The sequence below is a fragment of the Homo sapiens genome, chromosome 8 (genome assembly GCF_000001405.40).
Source record: "Homo sapiens chromosome 8, GRCh38.p14 Primary Assembly".
NCBI classification, from domain to species: domain Eukaryota; kingdom Metazoa; phylum Chordata; class Mammalia; order Primates; family Hominidae; genus Homo; species Homo sapiens.
In genome coordinates this window covers 20,429,552-20,451,411 of record NC_000008.11, presented here as the reverse complement: position 1 = coordinate 20,451,411, position 21,860 = coordinate 20,429,552, and the positions used below count along the sequence as shown (strand labels likewise).

Sequence of the window (21,860 nt, the reverse complement as noted above, 5' to 3'; positions counted from 1 at the left end):
AGAATAGTCTTCAATCGGCCAGACCCAGTGGCTTTCACCTGTAAACCCAGCACTTTGGGAGGTTGAGGCAGGTGAATCACAAGATCAGGAGTTCAAGACCACCCTGGCCAACATGGTGAAACCCCGTCTCTACCAAAAACACAGAAAATTAGCTGGGCATGCTGGCGGGTGCCTGTAATCCCAGCTACTCAGGAGACTGAGGTGGGAGAATTGCTTCAACCCAGGAGGCAGAGGTTACAGTGAGCTGAGATTGGGCCACTGCACTCCAACCTGGGCAACAATGCAAGACCCCATCTCAAAAAAAGAAAAAAAAAGAAAGAATAGTCTTCATGCACAGCTCCTATTTCCACGTCTCCTATTTACTCCTTAATTTATTAAGCCAAACATCTGCCCCAACTCTCCCCTGAAGACAGCTCTTCATAATGAATTCCTGGTCCCAGAGGAATCAGGAAATGGGTTCACCCTAGTGAACTCCTATAACAACATACCAGAGACCAGTGACTTCAACAACAGACTTTTTTCTTCCCCCTGTTCTGGTGTCTAGGAAGTCCAAGATCAAGGTCCCAGCCTTGGTCATGTTTTCTGCTTCCTGGCTTAGACAGCCACCTTCTCCCTGTGTCCTCGCAGGGCTGACATATGGTTTTGGGCAGCAGGGGAGAGCTTTGTCTCTCGTTAAGGGGACTCTAATCTCATGATGAGAACTCCACCCTCATCTAAACCTCATTACCTCCCAAAGGCCCCACCTCCAAACACCATCACATTAAGGAATAGGGCCTCAACATGTGAATTTGGGGGAAGTACAAACATTCAGTCCATAACACCGCCCTTCAGTTTCCTTTGCTACATTCCTGTCCTTGGCTCAGGCAGAGCCCACTGCCCCAGTTCTCTTCTTCTGGCATTCTGTTTTGTTCTTCGACTCCCTGATGGGCTGTTGCTTCTCCTTCTGATGTCCCCAGCCCCCTGGACACCTTCTCTCTGGGGAAAGCTTAGGCACTCTCAATGTGGACACCACTCTAAGATGAGGAGCCTCAAGTCCCCACCTCCAGCCAGCCTTTTGCCTCACTCCTCCCTCAGACCCATCCACACACAATCGCCTGCTGGACATCTCCAACCAAGTTCCCAAGTCTCTGACTCAGCCTTCCCAAATTAAATGACCACTGCCCTTCCTCCCCTACCCTCACACACCCGGCTCCTCCTAGAATCTCTGGCTCAGTCTGGGTCACCTCCATCTCCTGCCCTCCCAGAGCCAACCAACAATCTCTCCCACAGCTACTTCCTAAACGTTTTTCAAAAGTGTCCTTTCATCTCCTTCCTTTCTCCCTGGGGACTCCAGCTACAGCCTCCCAATTCTCCTCCTGGCCTTCCTCAAGTCCATCCCTTAAACCGATCCTAGAAGAAACACACATTAGAACATGTACCTCACCTCCTCTGTTTAAAATTTTAAAATGGACCCTCATCGCTTACAAGATAAAGTCTCAGCCTGCCCTCCCATGGCCTGTGAAATCCTCCAGGATCCATCCCAAACTCATCTCAAAGCACTCTCTGCCCAGAGCGTAGCAGCAATAAATCCACATGGATGCCAGCCTCTGGCAAACGCAGCCCCTCCCGAAATGCCCGTCTCACAGCTCGAAGCTGCTTGCCTTTGCTTCAGCAAATCCTCTACCTCTGATTTCTTGCTTCTTTCTTTTCTCCTCCTCTTTTAGCTTCTCTGACTCAGGTCAGCTGCCCCTTCTCAGAAAGGCAGCTCCCTTTATCCTCCCAGGCTGAGAAGAGGGCCCTTCTCTGTGTTCCCTCCATCTCTCCCCTGTCTCGATCACTGCACTACCACAGTACCTGGGTTGTGTGTCTGTCTCCTCAGAGACAATAAACAATTTCTGTGCCATCCTTTCCGTTAATCATTTCTGTCGTTCCCTGACCTCTAGCTGGATGCCGGGCACAGAGCTCACATCGAATGTCTGATGAATAAGTGAATGTAGGAATGAACGAAGGGATGGTTGATTTATGGGTGAATTGGGACTGGAATCCAGATCTCCTTCATTTGACATCAAAACTTTTTCTCTTCTACTCCCTGTCTGACAGTCCAGAGGGCTATATTCTCTCTCTTTGACTGGAGAAGGGGAAGGCTGTGTGTGTATAGAGATCAAGAGAGATCATCAGGGTGAAAAATGTGTAACCAGCCTAAGTAGCTGGGTAGGTCTCTAGAGGACTCATTTGGAAGTTGATAATGGTCAACAGCAGGTGGAAGGACACAGGCACAGCCAGGACTTGAGGGACAGAGAAACCATGTCAAAGACCTGGGGGTGGGTGGTAGGCTTTTGAAGGGAGGGAAGAAGGCAGAGCTTCAAGAGTGGGAAGGCTGTCTGGGAGAAGCTAGAGCAGACTTCGGAAGAGTTGAGGAGGGAAGTCATGGGAATGACATGAAACATACAGCCAGTCTTGGAGTATGACAAGGAAGTTCCAGGGAAGAATGAGGGGCATGGTGTTGGGCAGGGGCTTGAGAACAAGGGTCCAGGGAGGGAGCTGAAGCCTTGTTAAGCTGCCAGGTGACCATAGGCCTGCAGAGACAAGGAAGTGCATGTTTAGGGAGGTCTTGGGGTGGCGAGGACCCGCCCATCTGTCTACCCATCTCCTTTCTTTTCCTTCTCCTTTTTCTTCTTTTACTCCGTGAAAGTGTAGCAAAACCTAATTGTTTCCTCTGCTCAGTTGCAGTAACAAAATTACACTGATAATTCACCAATTCTGAAAGAAACACACATCTAGGGGTATCTTTGCTCTTTAAAGCATGCGTAGCTGGGGACACTGGATAGATGGCTGCAAGGATAGTGAGGGCCCCTCACCCTGTTACCGGCCCCGGCCATTCTGCCTTTCCGGGAGGTTCCTTCAACCAGGCTGTCAGCCAGACAGAAAGTTGCTCAGGGCTCAAAAGCAGAGAATTAATCTCAGGTTGGAGAGATGCCTGGCGGGGAGGTAGAAACTGGGAACCACTTCTCCTCTGAGCCTATTCCTTTCTTTTATGACAATGGCATCAATCCAAACTCAGGAGACTTATATTCCAGTCTTGGTTTTTCCAGTAACTCCTTGTGGTCTCGGGGCCCTTTACCTTCCCATGGATAAGATGAAGTTATAATTGAAAACCTCCAATGTCCCTGGACCGTGGGGAGGGTGAACAGTGCTGCTGTTCACATCCTCTGAGACCCATAAATCCTATATTGCCCAGGGATGATCACAGTGGATAGTATGATTCTTGTCCCTTGTAAGACCCAGGAAAGGGTGCTGTGTAAACGAGGTTGAAGCAGATCTCTGAGTGGTCTGTAATATCAAATTAGATATCAACAACAATAATATTTTTATAACTACCGATTGAGTTTAATGAGAAATTTGAAACCGTGCCGCCCTGTCACCCTCCCTGAAAGCCTTGGGTTCCACTCAGTCAATCCCTTCCTGGCATGCAAATCTAATACCTGAAGTACTGAGATTTCAGCCAATCTCAGCTCCAGTTTCATGCTACCTAAATCTCATCCTGAGATCCCTCCATCCTGAAATTGAGTCTTGCAGGTTCCCAACCTTGTGTGAGGCCCTGTAGGGAGGTAGGGATACCAAGAGATGAGCTGTCCAGCTGGGGGAGGAGCTTAAACAATGGTCATCAAAGCACAGGGAAGTGCGGTCTGTTGGTCCCGATGACCAAGGCATGGGTGGCCACAGAGGTATGTCATTGAGGGTGGGCATCTTCTGAGAGGAATTCATGGAAAAGCAGAAGTCAATCTGGATCTGGAAGGACTTAGGTAAGTGAAGGGAAGAAAGCAAGGCAATGGGGCCCGGCGCAGTGGCTAACACCTGTAATCCCAGCAGTTTGGGAGGCCGAGGTAGGCAGATCACTTGAGGCCAGGAGTTTGAGACCAGCCTGGTTAACATGGTGAAACCCCGTCTTTAGTAAAAATACAACAATCAGCCAGGCATGATAGCGCGTGCCTAAAGGCTTTGAAAGCCAAGCAAGGGAGTGTGGGACCCACAACAGAGACACGTGTAGCAAGAGCACCGGCTTTGGGCTCAGCTGACCTGGGTTTGGCTTCTGCCTCGACTTGCAAATTGGGTACCCTTGGGGAAGTTACTTAACCTTTCCGAGATTTTCCTCAAATGCTTGTTCTCAGGGTATTTTTTGAGGTGCCTTGTTTCATATCTTACTGACCCCTTCTTCTTTCCCCAAAGCAAGGTAGTCAACACACAGCCAAGAAAGATTCATCCCCAATCTCTCCAGGTGAGAGGAAACCATTCGGGACATTCTCAGGGCTGTGGAGGAAGATTCTCAGGTCCGGGGCCACTTACTCGGCCTCAAGCAGATGCCAAACAATGTGGATAATGAAGAATGTGTAGGTCTTGTTAAGGGAGCTCTCAGTTTATAAGCAGGGGTTAGTGCCCGGACGTAGGGCCAGTGAATGAAAATAATGATGATAATATGATGCTGGGTTAATAACATATTACATACACTTCATATGCACCAGACACTGCTAAATATGATGCATTAATTATGTCATTTAATCCTCAAAAAGCACTCTGTGAGATGGGTAAATCTCCATTTCATACATAAGAAAACTAAAGCACAAGAGAGATTAAGTAACTTGCCCAAGATGACACATCCAAAATGCATTAGAGATAGATTCTGACTCTAGGCAGTCAAACTTCATACATACACTCTTTTTTTATTATTATTATTTCAGAACTGTCACCCAGGCTGCAATGCAGTGGCTCGATCATACTCACTGCAGCTTTGAGCTCCTGGGTGTAAGTGCTTTTCCTGCCTTAGCCTCCCAAGTAGCTGAAACTACACAGCTGTATGCCAATTTTTTTTTTAACTTGGCTAGTTTTATTTTATTTATTATTTATTTATTTATTTATTTATTTATTTATTTATTTATTTATTTTCTTGTAGAGACAGGGTCTCACTACATTGCCTAGGCTGGTCTCGAATTCCCAGGCTCAAGAGATCCTCCTGGCCTTGGCCTCCCGAAGTCCTGGGATTACAGGCATGGGCCACTGTGCTGGCCACACCTATACTCTTAACCACTTTATTGAGCAGACTGGAGCCTCACAAGAGTCTGGTCACCTTTGAAAAGCTGGAGTTCCCAGGGCTTCCCATCGCAGTAGACATTAGCTATTTGGGAGCACCCAGACACCCATCCCTTGCCTTCTGTTAACATGGCTCCCATTGCTACTCTTTAGAGAACTGCTCCGCCCTCTCCTGGTTCCTTTGACTTTGACAGAGCTGCCAATCAGGGCTCCCCATCCCCTAGGGCTTGGATTGTAACCCAGGCTGGACCGATCAGAGTTCTTCCCCGGAACTGTCACAAATTGGAGATGAAGAAAGTGCTCATTCTTTCTCCTTGGGTTTCCAGGTATAAGGATGTTACTTCAGAATTTCCCATAGCCGGGTCCTTAATCAGATGGAAAACATGAGAGAAGGGAGTCAGCACAGAGATGGAAACTGACTTGAGAAAGGAAAGGAAAAAAACAGGAGGTTTGAGTAAGAGGGTAGGAGAAGGAAAGTTTCTGTCGGTCTTATGCCACCTTTATTTCTGCTTATTTGAAGATTGGTTATGCTTTTTCCTTAAGCTAATATGAATTGGGTTTCTGTCACTTGAAACTGAAAGAGCACTGGATGATGTGCCAGCCCTCCTAAAAGATTTTAGAGATCTCATATCTGCTGTCTCTTAGACCTAGCATCCCTTAGAAGCATATTTGAATACAACCCTAACTGTTTTGTTTTTGGTTTTGTTTTTGTTTTGAAACAGAGTCTGGCCCTGTTGCAGGCTGGAGTGCACTGGTGCAATCTCAACTCACTGCAACCTCCATCTCCCAGGTTCAAGTGATTCTCCCATCGCGGCCACCTGAGCACCTGGGATTACAGGCACGTGCCACCATGCCTGGCGGATTTTTGTATTTTTGTACAGATGAGGTTTCATCATGTTGGCCAGGCTGGTCTTGAACTCCTGACGTCAAGTAATCCGCCCACCTCAGCCTCCCAAAGTGCTGGGATCACAGGCAAGAGCCACTGTGCCTGGCCAAACCCTTTTTATTTCCATGGCTATTACATAGGAGTACAGACTTTTCAATACCTTATCATAGACCCGAGGTCAAGATGATTACTGAAAGATGATTTACAGCAGTGCTTTTGGCCCTGATCATAAAAATGACATTGTTGATTGAAGTGATCTTATTAGCACTGACTTGTTGAATGCTTACTCTGAGTCAGCATGCTTTACCTCATGTAATGCCCATATCGGTTCCATGAGAGAAAGCCTATTATTAGTCCCATTAAATAGAAGAAGAAACTGAGGAACAGAGAGGGTTAAGGAACAGCAGGCTTGTGGCACAGTGGAGGTTCAAACTCAGATATGCGTGACTCTTTAGAGTCCCAGCACCATACACGGCACTCTCTCAGGTGGCATCTGAACATCATGCTACACAAAACTTGTGACAACCAGTGAAACAGAATACAAAAGGAAGCTGAGCTGAGGCGGGCAAGTCAGCTGCCATCTTCTGATGGTCACAGGAGGAGAAAAAAAGAAAAGCTCCAAGAATATCGGCTTCAAAAAACAAAGCACAGGAACATAAACATTACAATAAGCCTCAGAAAAAGACTATATTTTGGAGAAACTGTTATTTAAACAGTTGTCATTTTGCTGATCCAAATATCCAGTTGTGAGATATCAGCTCCATCTCAGATCTCTGTGATCAAATGGACTAAAAGTAATGCCATCAAACAATGTCTCTAATCCGGCTGTCGGCAGATGCCTCACTACCAGAGGTGTGAGTACTCAGAACTCCAGTAGCTACACCATTGAATCAAAATGGTGTTACCAAGCTGGGATGGGTGGGAATCATGGAGATGGGAAAGGAAATCTTCTGAGAAACCCCATATGATGGATGGGACCCTGTTACGGATCATTTACTGGGGTGACAAGACAATGTGCCTCCTTTGCTTGTGTTCTCTTTCCCCAGCACACACGCACACTGACCACTCCCTGCCCCAGTTGTGGTGCAGTTTAACCATTCCTGTGACTGAATTTCCCCAAGTCTGAGGCCTCTGTTGGCCCCTATGACTTGCTGCAGAAAGATACCACCTGTTCTCACAGCCGGCCAGGCATCTATCAGAGTTTCTGTGCTTCAGCAGTGGCAGGCAGGATGGAAGCAAGAGTGAGGACACATTCCCCTGCAAGACCCTGGAGCCTCTCCTGCATTCTCCATATGCCAGCCTACCAGGCAGCCTGCATCAGAACACCTCCAATTAGCCATCAAGGACACACCCTTCCCCAACACTGCTCAACAGGAAAAGGCAAGATCTTTTAAGATTGCATCATGAGATTCAGAAGCTTTTGCCATCGCTCTTTGTTGCATTTATTTATAGCCTTTTCTCCCTCCAGCCTTCCCATGTCCTCCTATGACTTCTACATCCAGGTACTTGATCCATGAAACATGGTCACTTCCCAGTGTCATGATATCATCTTCAATAATCAGCTCGGTAATCATCTCAGCCCTACCTCAACCAATCACTCCCATATTCACAACCTGGATCTTGTCATTACCACCTCTAATATCCTGTTCCACCTCTAGTATCTTGATAATAAATATCCAACTCTGGCCATCACCTCCAAAATTCCAGTTTACTCTCTCTAGCGCTTCTACTCCAATAATTTTTGACCTCCCGCAGCTTCCAGATCATAGGCCCTGTGTGCACTGGCCATCACACATTTTCTGTTTTCATTCCACAGTCCCTTACTAAAATCAATCTATCCTTTGTCTCCTTCTCTTTCCATTTTGGAAGCCATCCTGAGGAAGCCTCCAAGCTTTGGCTAAATGCTTGCATCCAGGTGAACAGAAATAATGAAAAACATGCAAACACCTCGAGTGGTATCATCTGGAGTCCATGACCACAAGCCTCAAGGAGGTGGGCATTCCTGCTATATCTTCCTGCTCATTTCACTCTCCTACTCTGTGCGGTGAGCATCTCACAACTTGTCACTACTCAAATCTCCAACAGCCCTCTGCACTTCTTCACTCTCGAATGCTGGTCTATTTCAGTGAGAACATAGAAGCAATCAGATAATTGTTTATCTTCCCCTAACCACACAATTCCCAGCCTCTGCGCCAACAGGCTCTGTCTTTCTTCTGCGGCAGAGGACAAACTGTGACATTCTTAGTGAAGATTAACCCTTCCACTTGTCCAGAGAATCCCTCTGCCTTTCACCCACAGAACTTTATCCTCATTGCTATCATATCACTCTCCTGCTTCAACTCCTTTCTCTAGATTGGTGTATCACACACAAACATGCTGAAATAACATTCATCTCAACACTAACAAACAAAGTTCTCACTTCATCCCAGTTCCCTCTCTAGCTACTGCCCTATTCCCCTGCTCCCTTGATCTTAAAATTCCTGAAGTTTTCTGTAATTCTTATCTTTATTAAGTCACCTTCCATTTTCTCTTGAACTTCCTTTGTGGAAGATAGGGTTATTGTTTTCAATTATTGGCTTCTCCTTTCTTTGTGGAAGGATCATATGTCCCTGTTGTTTGCCATGTGACCTGCTGTGCCTCCCTGCAGGGACAGTAGACCTCCTACCCATCAGCAGGCTTGGCCATATGGCTGGTGCTATTCAGCAGAAGCTGAGCAGACATGGTATGGACCACGTTTGAATACAAGCTTTACGAAGTATTTCAAGTTTCTACCGGCAATCTTGCTTTTCCATTTGGCCATAATAACTGCAATCCCAGATTGGAGCTACTCCTTCAGCCTGGATTTTGAAAGAAGTTATGAGGAACAAAACTGTAGCTGATCCACAGCCTCCAACAGGTGACATGATAACAATAAGATATTGCTGTTCTGCAAGCCTTTGAGAGTTGAGAGTAGGTTGTTACTGTAGCCTTGCCAAGTAATGCTGGTTTTCCAAACAGGCCTTTGTCCCTATCACTCTATGAAAAAACTTCATATATCAAAACCACTTCCATGTTACCAAATCCAGGGGTCAACTCTTGGTCCCCCTACTTTATTGAGCCTATAGTCAGCACTCAATACTGCTGATGATGCCATCCTACCTGAAACACTTCCATTTCTTGATATCTGGAAACCCACTATTTCTGATTTTCCTCCCACTTTCCTGGACCCTCCGTCAGTTTCCTTTGCTGGCCCCTCCTGTTTTTCAGATCTACATGTGGAAGTTCCAACGCATACCTCTTCTCTACCATTTTTTCCTCTAAGTAATCTCATCCATCTGTGGCTGGGATTCCAAAATTAACATGTCTAACCCCTTCTCCTCCCCTGAACTCCAGGCTTGGGTGTCTAATTTCTTACTCAAGATCTTCACTTGCATATCCAAACCAGTACTGTTACTTACCTCCTGCACTACACATGAACCTGCTCATCCTCACTCTTTTTCATTTCAGCAAACAGCACCGTCACCATTGCACATCCACTTGCTCAGGTCAAAGGGCTTGATGTCATTTTTATTCCTCTCTTTCTCTCATATCCCATGTTTGATTTTTCCTAACTCTGGCACTTGCACCATTATCGCTCTGATCTAATCCCAGAATCTCTCTTGCCTGGAATATTGCAATAGTCTCCATTCTGGTTCCTACTGCTACTCCTGCCACCCCTCACTCCTGCCATAAGCTGAGTATCCAGGATGGTTCAAAATTTTAAGTAATCTAACTCAATCTCATTACTACCGTCACTCAAACATACCTGTAAGGATTGCCCATAATTCTTCAGACAACAGCCAAAGCATTTATGGACACCAAGGTTCTACAAGATCTGGCCTCTGGCATCTTTCCAACTCATCTTCTGTCACCTTCCCCCTTGCATATCCACTTTGTTCAAACCAGCATTCTTGACATTCCTCAAACCCACGACCCTTTGCCCATCTCAGGGCTTTTTCCTTCTATGGTTCCCTATGCCTAGATCACTATCTTTCTTTCCCTTGAGAGCCTCAGACTGGCCTCCTGACTTCAATCAGATTTTGCTCAAATGTCATCTCTTCTTACCCACTCTACCTAATTAGCCACCTCCTCTCTACTATATTTTATTCCATGCCCTATGTTAGTTCTAGTCCATAGCACTAATAGGAAACAGTATGGATTAGTGGTTAAGAGCAGTCTCCCTGGATTTGGCAGTTAACTTCTCTGTGCATCAGTGTCCCCATCTGTAAAATGGAAATCAGAATAATAGCACTTAGCCTAACATGGCTTATATGACTTAATACCTGTAAACCACTTAGAAAGAAACACGGTGGGATGCAATGGTGATTGGCTATGTTTAGCTGACATTGTGTTCTCTAAATGCACATTGTCCATCTTCCCCACCAGAGCAGGAACTTTGTGTTTGTGGCCCACTGCTGTGCCCCCAGCACGTGGGAGGGGCTGAGGCTGTGGTAAGAAAGCTGCCTCTGAAACCTATCGTAAGAACCTATGCTCACACCTGCAATCCCAGCACTTTGGGAGGCTGAGGTGGGCAGATCACTTGAACTAAGATCGCACCATTGCACTCCAGCCTGGGCAAAAGAGCGAGGCTCCATCTCAAAAAAAGAAACCTACACTTTGTGTACTATTTTTTAAGCCATACCTAAGTTGGATTTTATTAAGTCTGACTCCATCCTTCCTTAAACCCAGCATTACTTTATCATTATTTTGAATGATCTCTCATTGATAACTTATTTTAAACTTTCTTCCCTTTCTCTCCCACTGTATGAAACAAGATAAGATCAGGAAAACTGATAGCTAAAGATCCCCTACTTGAAAACAACCATTCTCTAATTACATCTGTTTATGACAGTTTCAATCTCCATCTATGAGATTTACATAAAATGGATTATACCACCATCTGGGCTAATATTGTATAACTTGCCTGGGGTCACTCAAAGTAAATGTCACACTCAAAATGATCACTTGAGAGTTTCCAGAATTTTTTGTTAATTTCCTCTACCCTAATTATTATAATTAATAATAATCTTTCATGTAGCATTTAGGTGTGTTCAAAAGCAATCTTTGCCAACCATTATTTTATTGCACCTTCATTACTACTCCAGAAGGCAAGAAAAGGCCATGGTCATCATATGAAAATCACACACAGGGAAAATGTCCTGCCTGAATCATCTATGCCAGGAAGGAAAACATCTACCATAGATGGCCTCGAACGCAAGCTGCCCAAAGACAGGGACCAGAAAAAAGCTCAAAATGTACCATGACTCAAGCTCAATGCTAAGCTGCTAGGGTTTGCTGTTCTCCTTCATGGTGTCACAGAACCAGAAGCTGTTAAATTCTGCAAAGACCCCAGAAATCATTCTGGCTACCAGTCTCTGCTTTTCCACATGAAGAAGCTGAGTATCCCAGCTGAGATCATGCTAGTTGTTACAATGGATAAACCTTCAAATCCTAGTGACTTCACATGATAAAAATACATTTCTCACAGGAGTAATTCGGGGACCCAAGTTTCTACCGTCTGTGGCTCCATCATCTTCAGAGCACGTGGCTACTAGAGTCACTGTGGAAGAGGAAGAAACATGGAGAAGGTCACAGATGAGAGGTTCTTTTTTTTTTTTTTTTTGAGACGGAGTCTCGCTGTCTCCCGGGCTGGAGTGCAGTGGCGCCATCTCGGCTCACTGCAGCTCTGCCTCCAGGGTTCATGCCATTCTCCTGCCGACAGGTGAGAGGTTCTTACCAGCCGAGCCTAGAAGCAGCGTGCACCACTTTCACCCACATTTCAATGGCCAATACTCAGTCATTTGACCACCCTTAACTTCAGAAGGGCTAGAAAATTCAGTCTAGCTGTTAACCCAAAAGAAAGAGGAAATGTGACTGGTGAATATCCAGGCAGTGTCGGCCACACCAAGCAAGTCATCTGACTCTCTTGAGCCCCATCCACCCAGTCTACAAGTAACAAGCTGAGATTGCATCCAAGACCTCTGTTCCTAGATATGAATATCTTCTACTTAAGTTATTCTCACCTTTCTCTCCTGCTCTCCTCTGTATTCTAGCTTTAATTATGCAAATTTTCTATTGCTTCTAATTTCACATTCTCCTTGAGTTTTATTCTGTTGACTATTATCAAAAAAAAAAAAAAAAAAAAAAAAGGAGAAAAAGGAAAGAGAACCTGAGAGGATAAATTGTTAGTGATAAAAAAGAAGTTGTCCTGTTGGAAGCTTCCTAGCACCCTACTCCCAGCTGTAATCGATTCTGATGTTTCTCTCAATGGTCCCAGAAATAGAATATCAGAACTGAAAGGACCTCAGAAATAGCCAGAACAAAGGAAAGAATGTGCCACTTTTATTAATCCAACATGGAATTGTGGGCAACACCCCTGGGCCATCCAACTAAAAAAATGAGACGACGCCTTATGCCAGGTTGTTATACAGATTAAATGTGATCATGTGTACAAAATTACCCAATGCCTGGAACATAGTAGGTACTCAATCAATGCTAGTTAGTTTTGAATCTGAATCAAGTTCAATGTTGTCATTTTATAAAATGCTCTGCACCCCCTAAACAAGCGACATTAATTAAGTGCACAGGTAAGGTCTGTGAGGTGTTAAATGACCTGAGTACTGTGTGTAGAAAGCTGCAGTCACCTGGATAGATCCAGAAGTTGCCTCCTGGCAATGAGAACAAAGCCTGGGCCTGTAAGCTGCTTTCACGGCTTGTTTCTTATGCTAGAGGCAGCAGCGTGCCTTGGGTCCACTCTCTGCTCCTCCCCTTATTCCTCCCTCTTCCCATCCTGCCCTCTGTTCATCAGATTCAAAGTCAGGGAGACCCACCAGCACCAGCATCACCAGCCCCAAGGCAATGCCCACCCCAATCACAGATAAATCCTCACTTGCATTTCCAATCACTTGCTATGTCATTTTGGACATTCAGTATGGTAGCCAATAGGACTCTTATTATCACTATTATTGAGTTATTATTTTTTTCAGGGCACACTGATGTTACCACTGTCAAAGCGTCTCTACTACCTCTGAAAAACACACCTATCTATTACCAAGGGACAAAAATGCAATGTCTCATGTGTGAAAGGCAAGTCCATTAACACTTAACCACTCCTGAGTATCCCATACAGCCAGTCTTACAACACTCACTCTCGGAATGGTCCCTGAAGTCTTTAAAGATGATTTAGAGCAACTTCATGATAGAGGACTCCAGTGGTCCTGATGACTTGTGCAAAGAGACCTGGGATGGCGAGAAAGGGAGCTTGAGAGAGAGTGATAAGATTAGTGGCTGTTGCACTAGATTTTATGATGTTCTAAGGGATGAGGTAGAAGAGAGGGACATCATGGTGAACAAATCCACAAACTGTGCTGCTGCTATCACAATGTTGAAAGATGAAGCTTCATTTCTGCACAGCTCCAGCACCCATAGGCTTCAAGGAAAAGCAGCTATGGTGGCACATTCAAGGACTCTGTGCTGTTCATGCCCAGCTCCTTGCCCTATCTGTGATCTACGTCCATGACATGACCTCTGTCACAAACTCCTGAAGTCCCATCAGTCCAGAGAAGACAGAACTACTCTTTCTTTCAGACTCCCACAGCATTTTTATGCACCCCTATTACCATAAACAGCACATGATACTGTAACTGCTGGTTTCATTGTCTCTGTCCCCACTGGGGTCAGGAATCATGTCTTCCTCATCACCTGTGCTAAGTAGGTGTTCAGTGACTGTTCACTGACTGATAACTGACTCATTCTTTTGCCAGATACCTGAGTGTTCCTGACCCCTGGCTCTTATTCCACAAAGGATCCTATCTCTCTGACAACCTGATTTCCAGAGACACCAAAGATCAGGCTACTCTTGAGCCTGGCCCTGGCCCTAAAAGCCTGGCTTTTAGGAAGCATGAGGGTTCCGACATGCATGTTTTACTGTGCTCCTGCACCCTGGGGATGTTTCTCCTTGTCCTACCTGGCTTCACCACCTCCACATTTGAGCACTGGTATGGTGGCTTGGACTGGCCTAGTGTCCCCCACCCTGCTCACATAGCCTGGGCCCAGTTTGCAGGGCCTCACAGGACAGGCACAGGGCTTGGTGTGAGATGGCAGGAGCTCATCTTCAGGTCCCCAGTATAGGAATAGTGTCATCTCTTGCAACTCACCTACCAATGCCACTCCTCAGTTTGCTCAACTGTAAATGGATGAAATGATACCAACCTGAGAGTTGTTCCAAGACCAGCAATGGAAGCAAACGTAAGAGCCCTTGAAAAGAGAAAGCTGTTTCATAAAAACAGTGTGTGGTTCAGACAGCCCCGCCTGCCACCACGGCAGAAAGCCAGAAAGCACCCGGATGTGTCACCCACACCACTGTTTGGCTAAGACTGACTCTACATGCTCTCTCCACCCCAGAGGACACCTCCGTCCAGGCAGGGGGATTGCTGGCAGGGTGCCGTCTACACTGACATCCTCAGACTGCAGAGATTCCCACAAGTGGGCTGGTCTGGGAGGAGAGGAAGATGTAGGTGTTTCTTAGGTATTGTCAAATAAGAGGATCAGCAGAATAGGAAGTGGCAGAGAGCAGAGACTGTCTGTGTTATTTCAAGATTGTGATCACATCTCACACGCTCTGCTGAGCCAGTGAACAAAACAGCCCTTGGAAAACTGGTGCTTGGCGTGGGCGGCGCTTGCCAACCCGCCGGCAACCCTGGCTCTGCTCCATTCACTCACCAGGAAAGCTGACCTCCCCTGAGGACATCCATTGCTGGCCTCCATGTCCTTGGGGATCCTAACACCCATCCATTCAATTCAACGTCTAGTGAACCTTTACCAAGGCCAAGCATGATGCTGATCCCTGCGAGAGCCCTAGGAAAGAAGCACCCACCATCCTTGCCCTCAATCACCTCCCAGTCATGAGCCATAGTTGAGAGTTATCTCAACTAACACTTCCAGCCAGTCACTATCCTGCTCAAGAACTTGCAATAGCTCCCTACTACGTTGGTATCAAGAATCAACTCCTCAGCCTGACTTTTAAGCACCCACACTCAACCTAGGCCCACTTTCTCTTGCTGACTGTAACATGAACCCTCAATCGCTACAGGTAAAATATCCTAATTGTGCCAGGACCTTCCTGTCTTGTCTGTCACCCTGTAGCTTATTATTATCTAAACCCTCAAGACTTACCTCAAATTCTATTAGCCTAATGCTATCTCTCTCTTTTTTTTTTTTTTTTTTTTTTTCTGAAGTCCAATTCCACTGATAGTAAGCCATGGTCTTGCACTAAATTATTCTCCAAATCTCTCTCTCTCTCATAAGGTTCTGAAGTGCAGAGATGATTCAATTAAACACAATTCAACAAATATTGACTGAACTCCCACCATCTTCCCCTGCCTGTATTTGTGGATGGGTTGACTGACAGGCTGATCCAGCCTCCAGGCTATTCTGGGCAGAGGGACAGCTTTCATGATAGGAAATTTAAACTGCAACCTCATGCAAACCTCCGCACTATGCCCTGCCTCATTGACCCCAGGACACCCCTGAAATCAAATGAAACCACAGCCCCTCCTCAGTGCCACCTTGAGAAACAGGAAACCATTTGTTCTCCCTGTATGAATACCTAGCATCCCAAAGGTCACACCTGAGCACAGCAGGAACCAGGTGTGGTAACGCCCAGACCAGTGCTCCACCCTCACCTGGCCAGGACTTCACAGAGTAGCTGGGGCCCCAGTGGCCGGTCCCTACTGGAGAGCAGGCTGAGCCCTGCGTGGGGGCAGCACAGCATCCTGCACTCACCACACCTCTTTCCTCACGTGCGGCTTCAGACCAACCCCATTTCTCAAACGCCTCCCTCCCCTGCCTACCTATGCGTTTGTTTCCTGCCTCTTCTTTCGCCACCCTCCCCCCATCACCAGGCCTTCCGTGGCAAGAGATGCTGGGAGAGGCTGCCGGCGGGGTTGCGGGCTGCTTGCTTTGCGCACGTTTGGCTATTGCCATCTAGTGGCCATAAGGCATAAACCCGTCCCCACTCCAGGCCTTGCAAATGCCCCTTTCCCCTTTTTAAAAAGTGTGGGAGAAAAAAAGCTCTCTTTTTCAACCCCAAAAGGTCCTAAAAACTACAAGCAAAGACTACCAGGAAGCTTCAGTGTTCTCCAGGGATCACTTGACTGCCTGCCGCCCTGCAGTCTTAGGATCTGGAGTGGAAAGGGCCCTTCCCACTCCAGTGCCAGCGCAGGCATCAGGGCTTTCTCTAAGCAGATTGGAGGGTTGCAAGGAAAGGGAGACAGAAGTAGAGAGTTAAGGGGAAAGAGGAGGAGAGGACGGGAGAAGGAGGAAGCAGTGAGGTGAGGAGAGATGAGGGAGTCATTGCAAACCCTGGGCCTACAGCAACAAAGACATAGGATGTGAGGCGCAGCGCGGGGGTCATAGGGGAGGGTGTAGCCCATTGTTGCTGAATGACCTGCAGGATCTGAGATAAGAAACCTGAGGCCTGCCTGGACCAAGAGGGAGAACAGCAAGGCTCTGACCTGAAGCCAGCATGGATGCCCTCAGAGCTGCCCCTCACCTTCGTAGGGAGGATGGGGCACGCAGGGCCCCTTTGCACAGCTGGCTACCTGCAGAGCTGACCTGCTCCCTGGAGGGGAACACACCCCCTTCTAAGTGATGTCATTCATCCCTGACTCTGCCTTCCATCTTTCACCAAAGCTGATCTCAGGGGCCAGACCATTCACCAGGGCTGAGAGCAAAGAGGACAGACCTTCGGCAGCCCCAGGGCAAAAGTGGGCTTCCACTCCTAGCCAGCCTGTCTCTGCCCCTCCCACCCTGCCTTCAAGCCTTCTAGCTTCATTTGGAAGAAATCTCTTCCTGCTGGAGGAAGAAGAAGAAAAAAACACCCAACCTGCAAGGATTTTACCCTTTGCTTCATCTCTTGAGAAAGCAACCAGTCCCCAGCCCTACCCCCTGGGCCACTACCCTCCATGTGCCACGTTAAGTGATGAGGATAGCTATTAAGTAAATTCATTACTGACTATTTCACATTAGATTCCATTTTTTTCCCTTTGACGCCAACACAACTAATAAAAATGCACTTTATCTTCTTGGATTTATGGGATCGTAAAGCTGCTTTCATGTACCTCCGGGAATTGGGATTAAAGGAGAATTAAACATCTCCAGTGCAAAGCCTGCTCAGGTAAAGAGAGTGGGGGAAGGAATCAGAGGGGCGGGGGGAGAGAAGGAGAAGAGTGATTCAAGGACAAGAAATAAACTGAAGTAAAAACCTGGCAAAAATATGGCTTTAATATATTGTAAAAGAATAAAAACCTCATAAAAAGTTATCACCAGACATGAGGAGTTCGTAATGTCGCCCATTGTGGATTCTGGGGCGGAACTTTCTGGGAGATGAGAGTCATTAAGTAAAAGTGAGCCTCGAGCTGGCGGTGAGATGCAGGGTGGAGGTGGGACAGAGCCACATTGAAGGGGGCCAGCCTAGAGGCAATGGGCCAGCAGGCACCTCCTGGGCCATCCCTCCCCTGATGGGAGAAAGCCTAGGCACAAGACACGGTGCTTCCCACCCCTCCCTCCACTGTCCCACAGAGCTCCGAGGTGATACCAGGGGCTGAAGAGGACAGATCTTCCCCCGGCTTTTACCAGCCAGCCGTGAGACTCCGATGACGTCCTTAGTCTCTCCGTTTCTTATTTTCTGTTAACCAGGGACAACACCCACTGGTTAGTTCCTCCCAAAGTGATTGCAAGAACAAGCTAGAACAGTCAAGGCAAGGGAAAGAGCTTTTTTAAATTTAAATCTGAGATTTTTGAGCCATTCTTGCCATATCCTTTTCTTCCTCCCCAAATCCAAGCCAGGACCTGTCCTTCCATTTCTCCCTCAAAAATCTACCTCTTCTCCTTCTCCTTTCCTCCCTCTCCAGCTCCCAGGCACAGACCCCTGTTGTTTCCACCTAGTCTGCTGCAATACATTCCTCGTTCACATCTTCCAGGTCCATCCTCCGCACAGCCCCTGGAAGGATCTCCCAGGACTTTGAGAGGCCGAGGCGGGTGGATCACCTGAGGTCAGGAGTTCAAGGCCATCCTGACCAACATGGTGAAACCCTGAATCCCTGTCTGTACTAAAAATACAAAAAATTAGCCATGAGTGGTGGCAGGCACCTGTAATCCCAGCTACTCGGGAGGCTGAGGCAGGAGAATCGCTTGAACCTGGGAGGCAGAGGTTGCAGTGAGCTGAGATTGGGCCAGTGAACTCCAGCCTGGGTGACAGAGCAGGACTCCGTCTCAAAAAAAAAAACAAAAAAAGCAAATCCAATTATGTTTTTTGCTTAAAACTCTTCAGGAGCTTCTCCCAGATCTAAGGATAAAATTTAGAATCCTTAAGCTGGTCTAAAAGGCCTCATCTAGCCAGGCTTATGTTCCCAAATGCTTCCTGATCTCCGGCCCTGCTTCCTGCCCTGGCACACCGAATTTTATTCCACTCCTGGGCCTTTAAAGCTCCCTGAGGCCTCCCCAGAAGCTGAGCAGATGCCAGCACCATGCCTGTACAGCCTGCAGAACTGTGAGCCAATTAAACCTCTTTCCTTTGTAAATTATCCAGTCCCGGGTATTTCTTTATAGCAATGCAAGAATGGCCTAATACAGTAAGGTCAGTGCCTGCTTATATGATGGGAAATCCAATTTTCACCCAGCGGACTCCTTCCCAGTATAAGGGTTTACGGATTCTCCGACTTTATCTGCAGTGATACTCATCCAGCCTTACTGCACACTTAATTGCTTTTGGACTTGTACCATGCCAAGCTCAGTTTTTCCTCTTCCCTTCGGCCTTTCCTTTAGGTGATTCACAACGTCTGAACTACTCTCCCCTACGTCTTCCCCCTTCCCTTCATGTGGATAATGCTGGCTCTCCATTTCAATGCCTCTTACTCTCAAATGTCTGCTACGGCTTGCAGACTAGGTTAAGTCTCCCTGCTAAATATTGTAATAGTTCCTTATATTTCTGCTCATTGTTCACTCAACAAATATTGATTTGCATTTATTTGAGCTACTAAGTGCCAAGTTTTGCCTGGATATCGGAGGTACATCAGTGAACAAAACAGACAAATATTTCTGAGCTTTTAGGAAGTACATGTTTTACACAAATGCACACACATACACACACACACACACAATGGATTGTAAGCTTCTCGGGAACATTACAAGTGCATTATATTTCTTAGTATTCATTAATTCATTCCTTCTCCATTCATAGAACGGATTTTGCTTAAATGTCTATTCTGCCATCAGACACTATGCTTAACTCTAAGGTGCTATTGGCAGAACAAATACACATGGTCCCTGCCCTTATGTATCATACCATGTAAGGTGAGCAATAGGTACTAAAAACGAAAACACAAATAAACAACAGGTGCTTCGAAGGGAATGGACAAGGGGCTTTAAGAGAGAATAACAGAAGAAGAGTCTAGTTGAGATTGTGTGGTCAGGGAAGGCTTCTCTGAAGAAATTACATGTAGGATGAATTTGGAAGGGAATCAGGAGGATGATAAGGAGCCAGTCGTGTAGACAGTGAGAGGAACAACATTGTGGGCAGAGGGAACAGCCCATGCGAATGTCCTGAGGCAGTAAAAAGCCAGCACATCTGTGGAACCAGAAGAAGGCCAGTGTGGCTGTAGATGGTGAGTGAGAGAAAGAATGGTAAGAATCAAGGTTGGGAGGGTAGTCAGGGGCCTGATCCTGCAGGGCTTTCTGAGTCATGATCAAGATTTTGGATTTTATCCTAAGTACAAAGGGAAGCCATTGGGATGTTTTAAGCAGTTGCTATGGAATATTTTAGAGCAGACATAGAAATGGGAAAACCAGTTAGAAGATTTTTGCAACAGGTAAAAGATGGTGATGTCTTGACCTAGGGTGATAGTGTTGGAGATGGGATATCTTTTTGGAGAGTGAATCCACATGCCTTGGGACTACCTTGGATGTCGTATTTTTACCAACTCGCACAGTGGATGTGCAATACAGAAGATTCAACAACCTTTATTTGCCTGTTGCCCATTAATGTGTGTAAGTGCCCATAAAAATGTCCTAATGTCCACCCTAATCCATCTTGTAGCATTTTATATTCATTTATTTGTGCCCTAGAATGATTAGTGATCTGAAGTGCTTTGGTAACTAGTGGGTGTATTTCCTCTACGTATGGACTCCACCTTCATTCTAAGTAATTTTGGATGCCCCTACACATTCCCTTGTAGCTGATGTCTGATTATTTTTCTCATGATCCCTAACAGTGTCATAGTGTTGCTCTGGGTGACCTCAGGGGTCAGAGACCTGGGACGATGTTGCCTTGAAGAACAAGTCAAAAGGAAGGGTGAATTGGATTCAGAGAAGAGACTGGGCTCCTGGAACCAGCTCAGCCTGTGGGAGCCTTTGTGATCTGAGATAAGCAGCACACCTACCTTTTAGATCCAAGCAGATCCCTGTGCTTCCTGGGGCTCTCGTTCATCCATCACCATGATTAAGGGCCTACTACGTGCATACACTTTCCAAGTGCTGTTGGTGCAATGATGAAAGAAAGAAAGCATCATTAAGGATAAAATACTTTGAAAGGCTAAATATGCGTGTAGAGATATGTCATCATAGCCATCTTAAGCCTGAGAGGTGCAGGGACAGCCTTGCCTTTTAGACCAGGAGCGCAGGCCTCCAGAGAGTGCTCATCTGTGAGCAACTGACTCTTCACATGACTTGCCTAGTCCCCCTCGCAGAAAGATCGAGGCTTTAAGGAAAATTTCTTAGCAATCAGCTCATGCGTGATTTATAAGTTTATGGTTCTAGGAGGCATCTGCACATTGGGGCATAGATCTCAGTAATTAATCCTAGGAGGTCCCTAATGACAGAGGAGATTGTTCTGTGTGAAAGTTGCTTTAATACTAAACAGCTTGTGTTATCTAACAAATGAGAACATTTCACACCCAATAAACGTCACTTTTGATAAGTGCTACTAGCGGTCGTAAATCTGATAAATAACACAGGCAAGATCTCCCACACACTTGCCCTTCCCTGACATCTTCCACTGGGCTCCCTTGTGCTCTAAGCCTTTGGGAAAGAGCTGGGCCAGAGCCTACCTCCGTCCTCACGCTAACCCCTCAGACTCCTAGCCAGCGGCTCCATCCTGCCGGCACCACAGTGCCTGCATCCAAGTAGGAGCTCTGCAGTTTCCAGGTGAATTTGGATCATTCTAAGTGCAAAAGTGGATGATTCAAACAAATAAATACGGCAAAACAAAACAAAACTCCCATGTCCCTGCCATATCAGTTCTCTTATTCAGGACACATGAGAGACTGGGGGGAGTTGGTTTAAATGGTAACGATCATCCCAGCTCATCATCAAAAAGTATTTAAGTGATTAAATGTGCTTTACTGAATCAAGGAAACTGCAAAGATCCAATCTGTCCCCTCTAGGCTAACGGTGGATCTATCCTCCTTGCTAAGTGAGAACACGTTTATCTTGTACATCGCTGCCTCTCAATTACATGAGTGAGCCTATATAACTGTGGGAGGAGAGAGGTTTCTTAGTTCCATCACTCCGGGATGGACGCAGCCACCAAATTAAACCAAAATTGAAAGGAATTGTGAAAGGAGAAGAGTCCTATGTGATGGCAACTATATAACATCTTGAAAAGGGCAAAATTATGGAGACAGTAAAAAGATGAGTGGCTGTCAGGGGCTAGGAGGGTGGAGGGAATAGAGACGAATAGGCAGTAAATGGAGGACAGGAGTTTTTAGGGCAGTGAAACTATTCTTATGATACAGTCATGGTGGATACATTTAATAATAACAAGTCGATATTGGCTCATCAATTGTACCAAATGGATCACACTAAAGCAAGACGTTAATAACAAGGGGAGCTTGGT

General features: G+C 46.2%; 2 annotated features.

Moving 5' to 3' along the window:
• Window positions 16,464-16,633: an enhancer, noted in NCBI's record as "experimental_102576 CRE fragment used in MPRA reporter constructs". NCBI's record gives its function as "activates a minimal promoter by MPRAs in K562 erythroleukemia cells, with activity observed for both the introgressed and non-introgressed 8:20292375 variant alleles {active_cell/tissue: K562}" and the evidence as "EXISTENCE:reporter gene assay evidence [ECO:0000049][PMID:34662402]".
• Window positions 17,310-18,011: an enhancer, noted in NCBI's record as "H3K27ac hESC enhancer chr8:20290912-20291613 (GRCh37/hg19 assembly coordinates)". NCBI's record gives its function as "activates a minimal SCP1, AML or CMV promoter by ChIP-STARR-seq in naive and primed H9 embryonic stem cells {active_cell/tissue: H9 hESC(naive and primed)}" and the evidence as "EXISTENCE:reporter gene assay evidence [ECO:0000049][PMID:30033119]".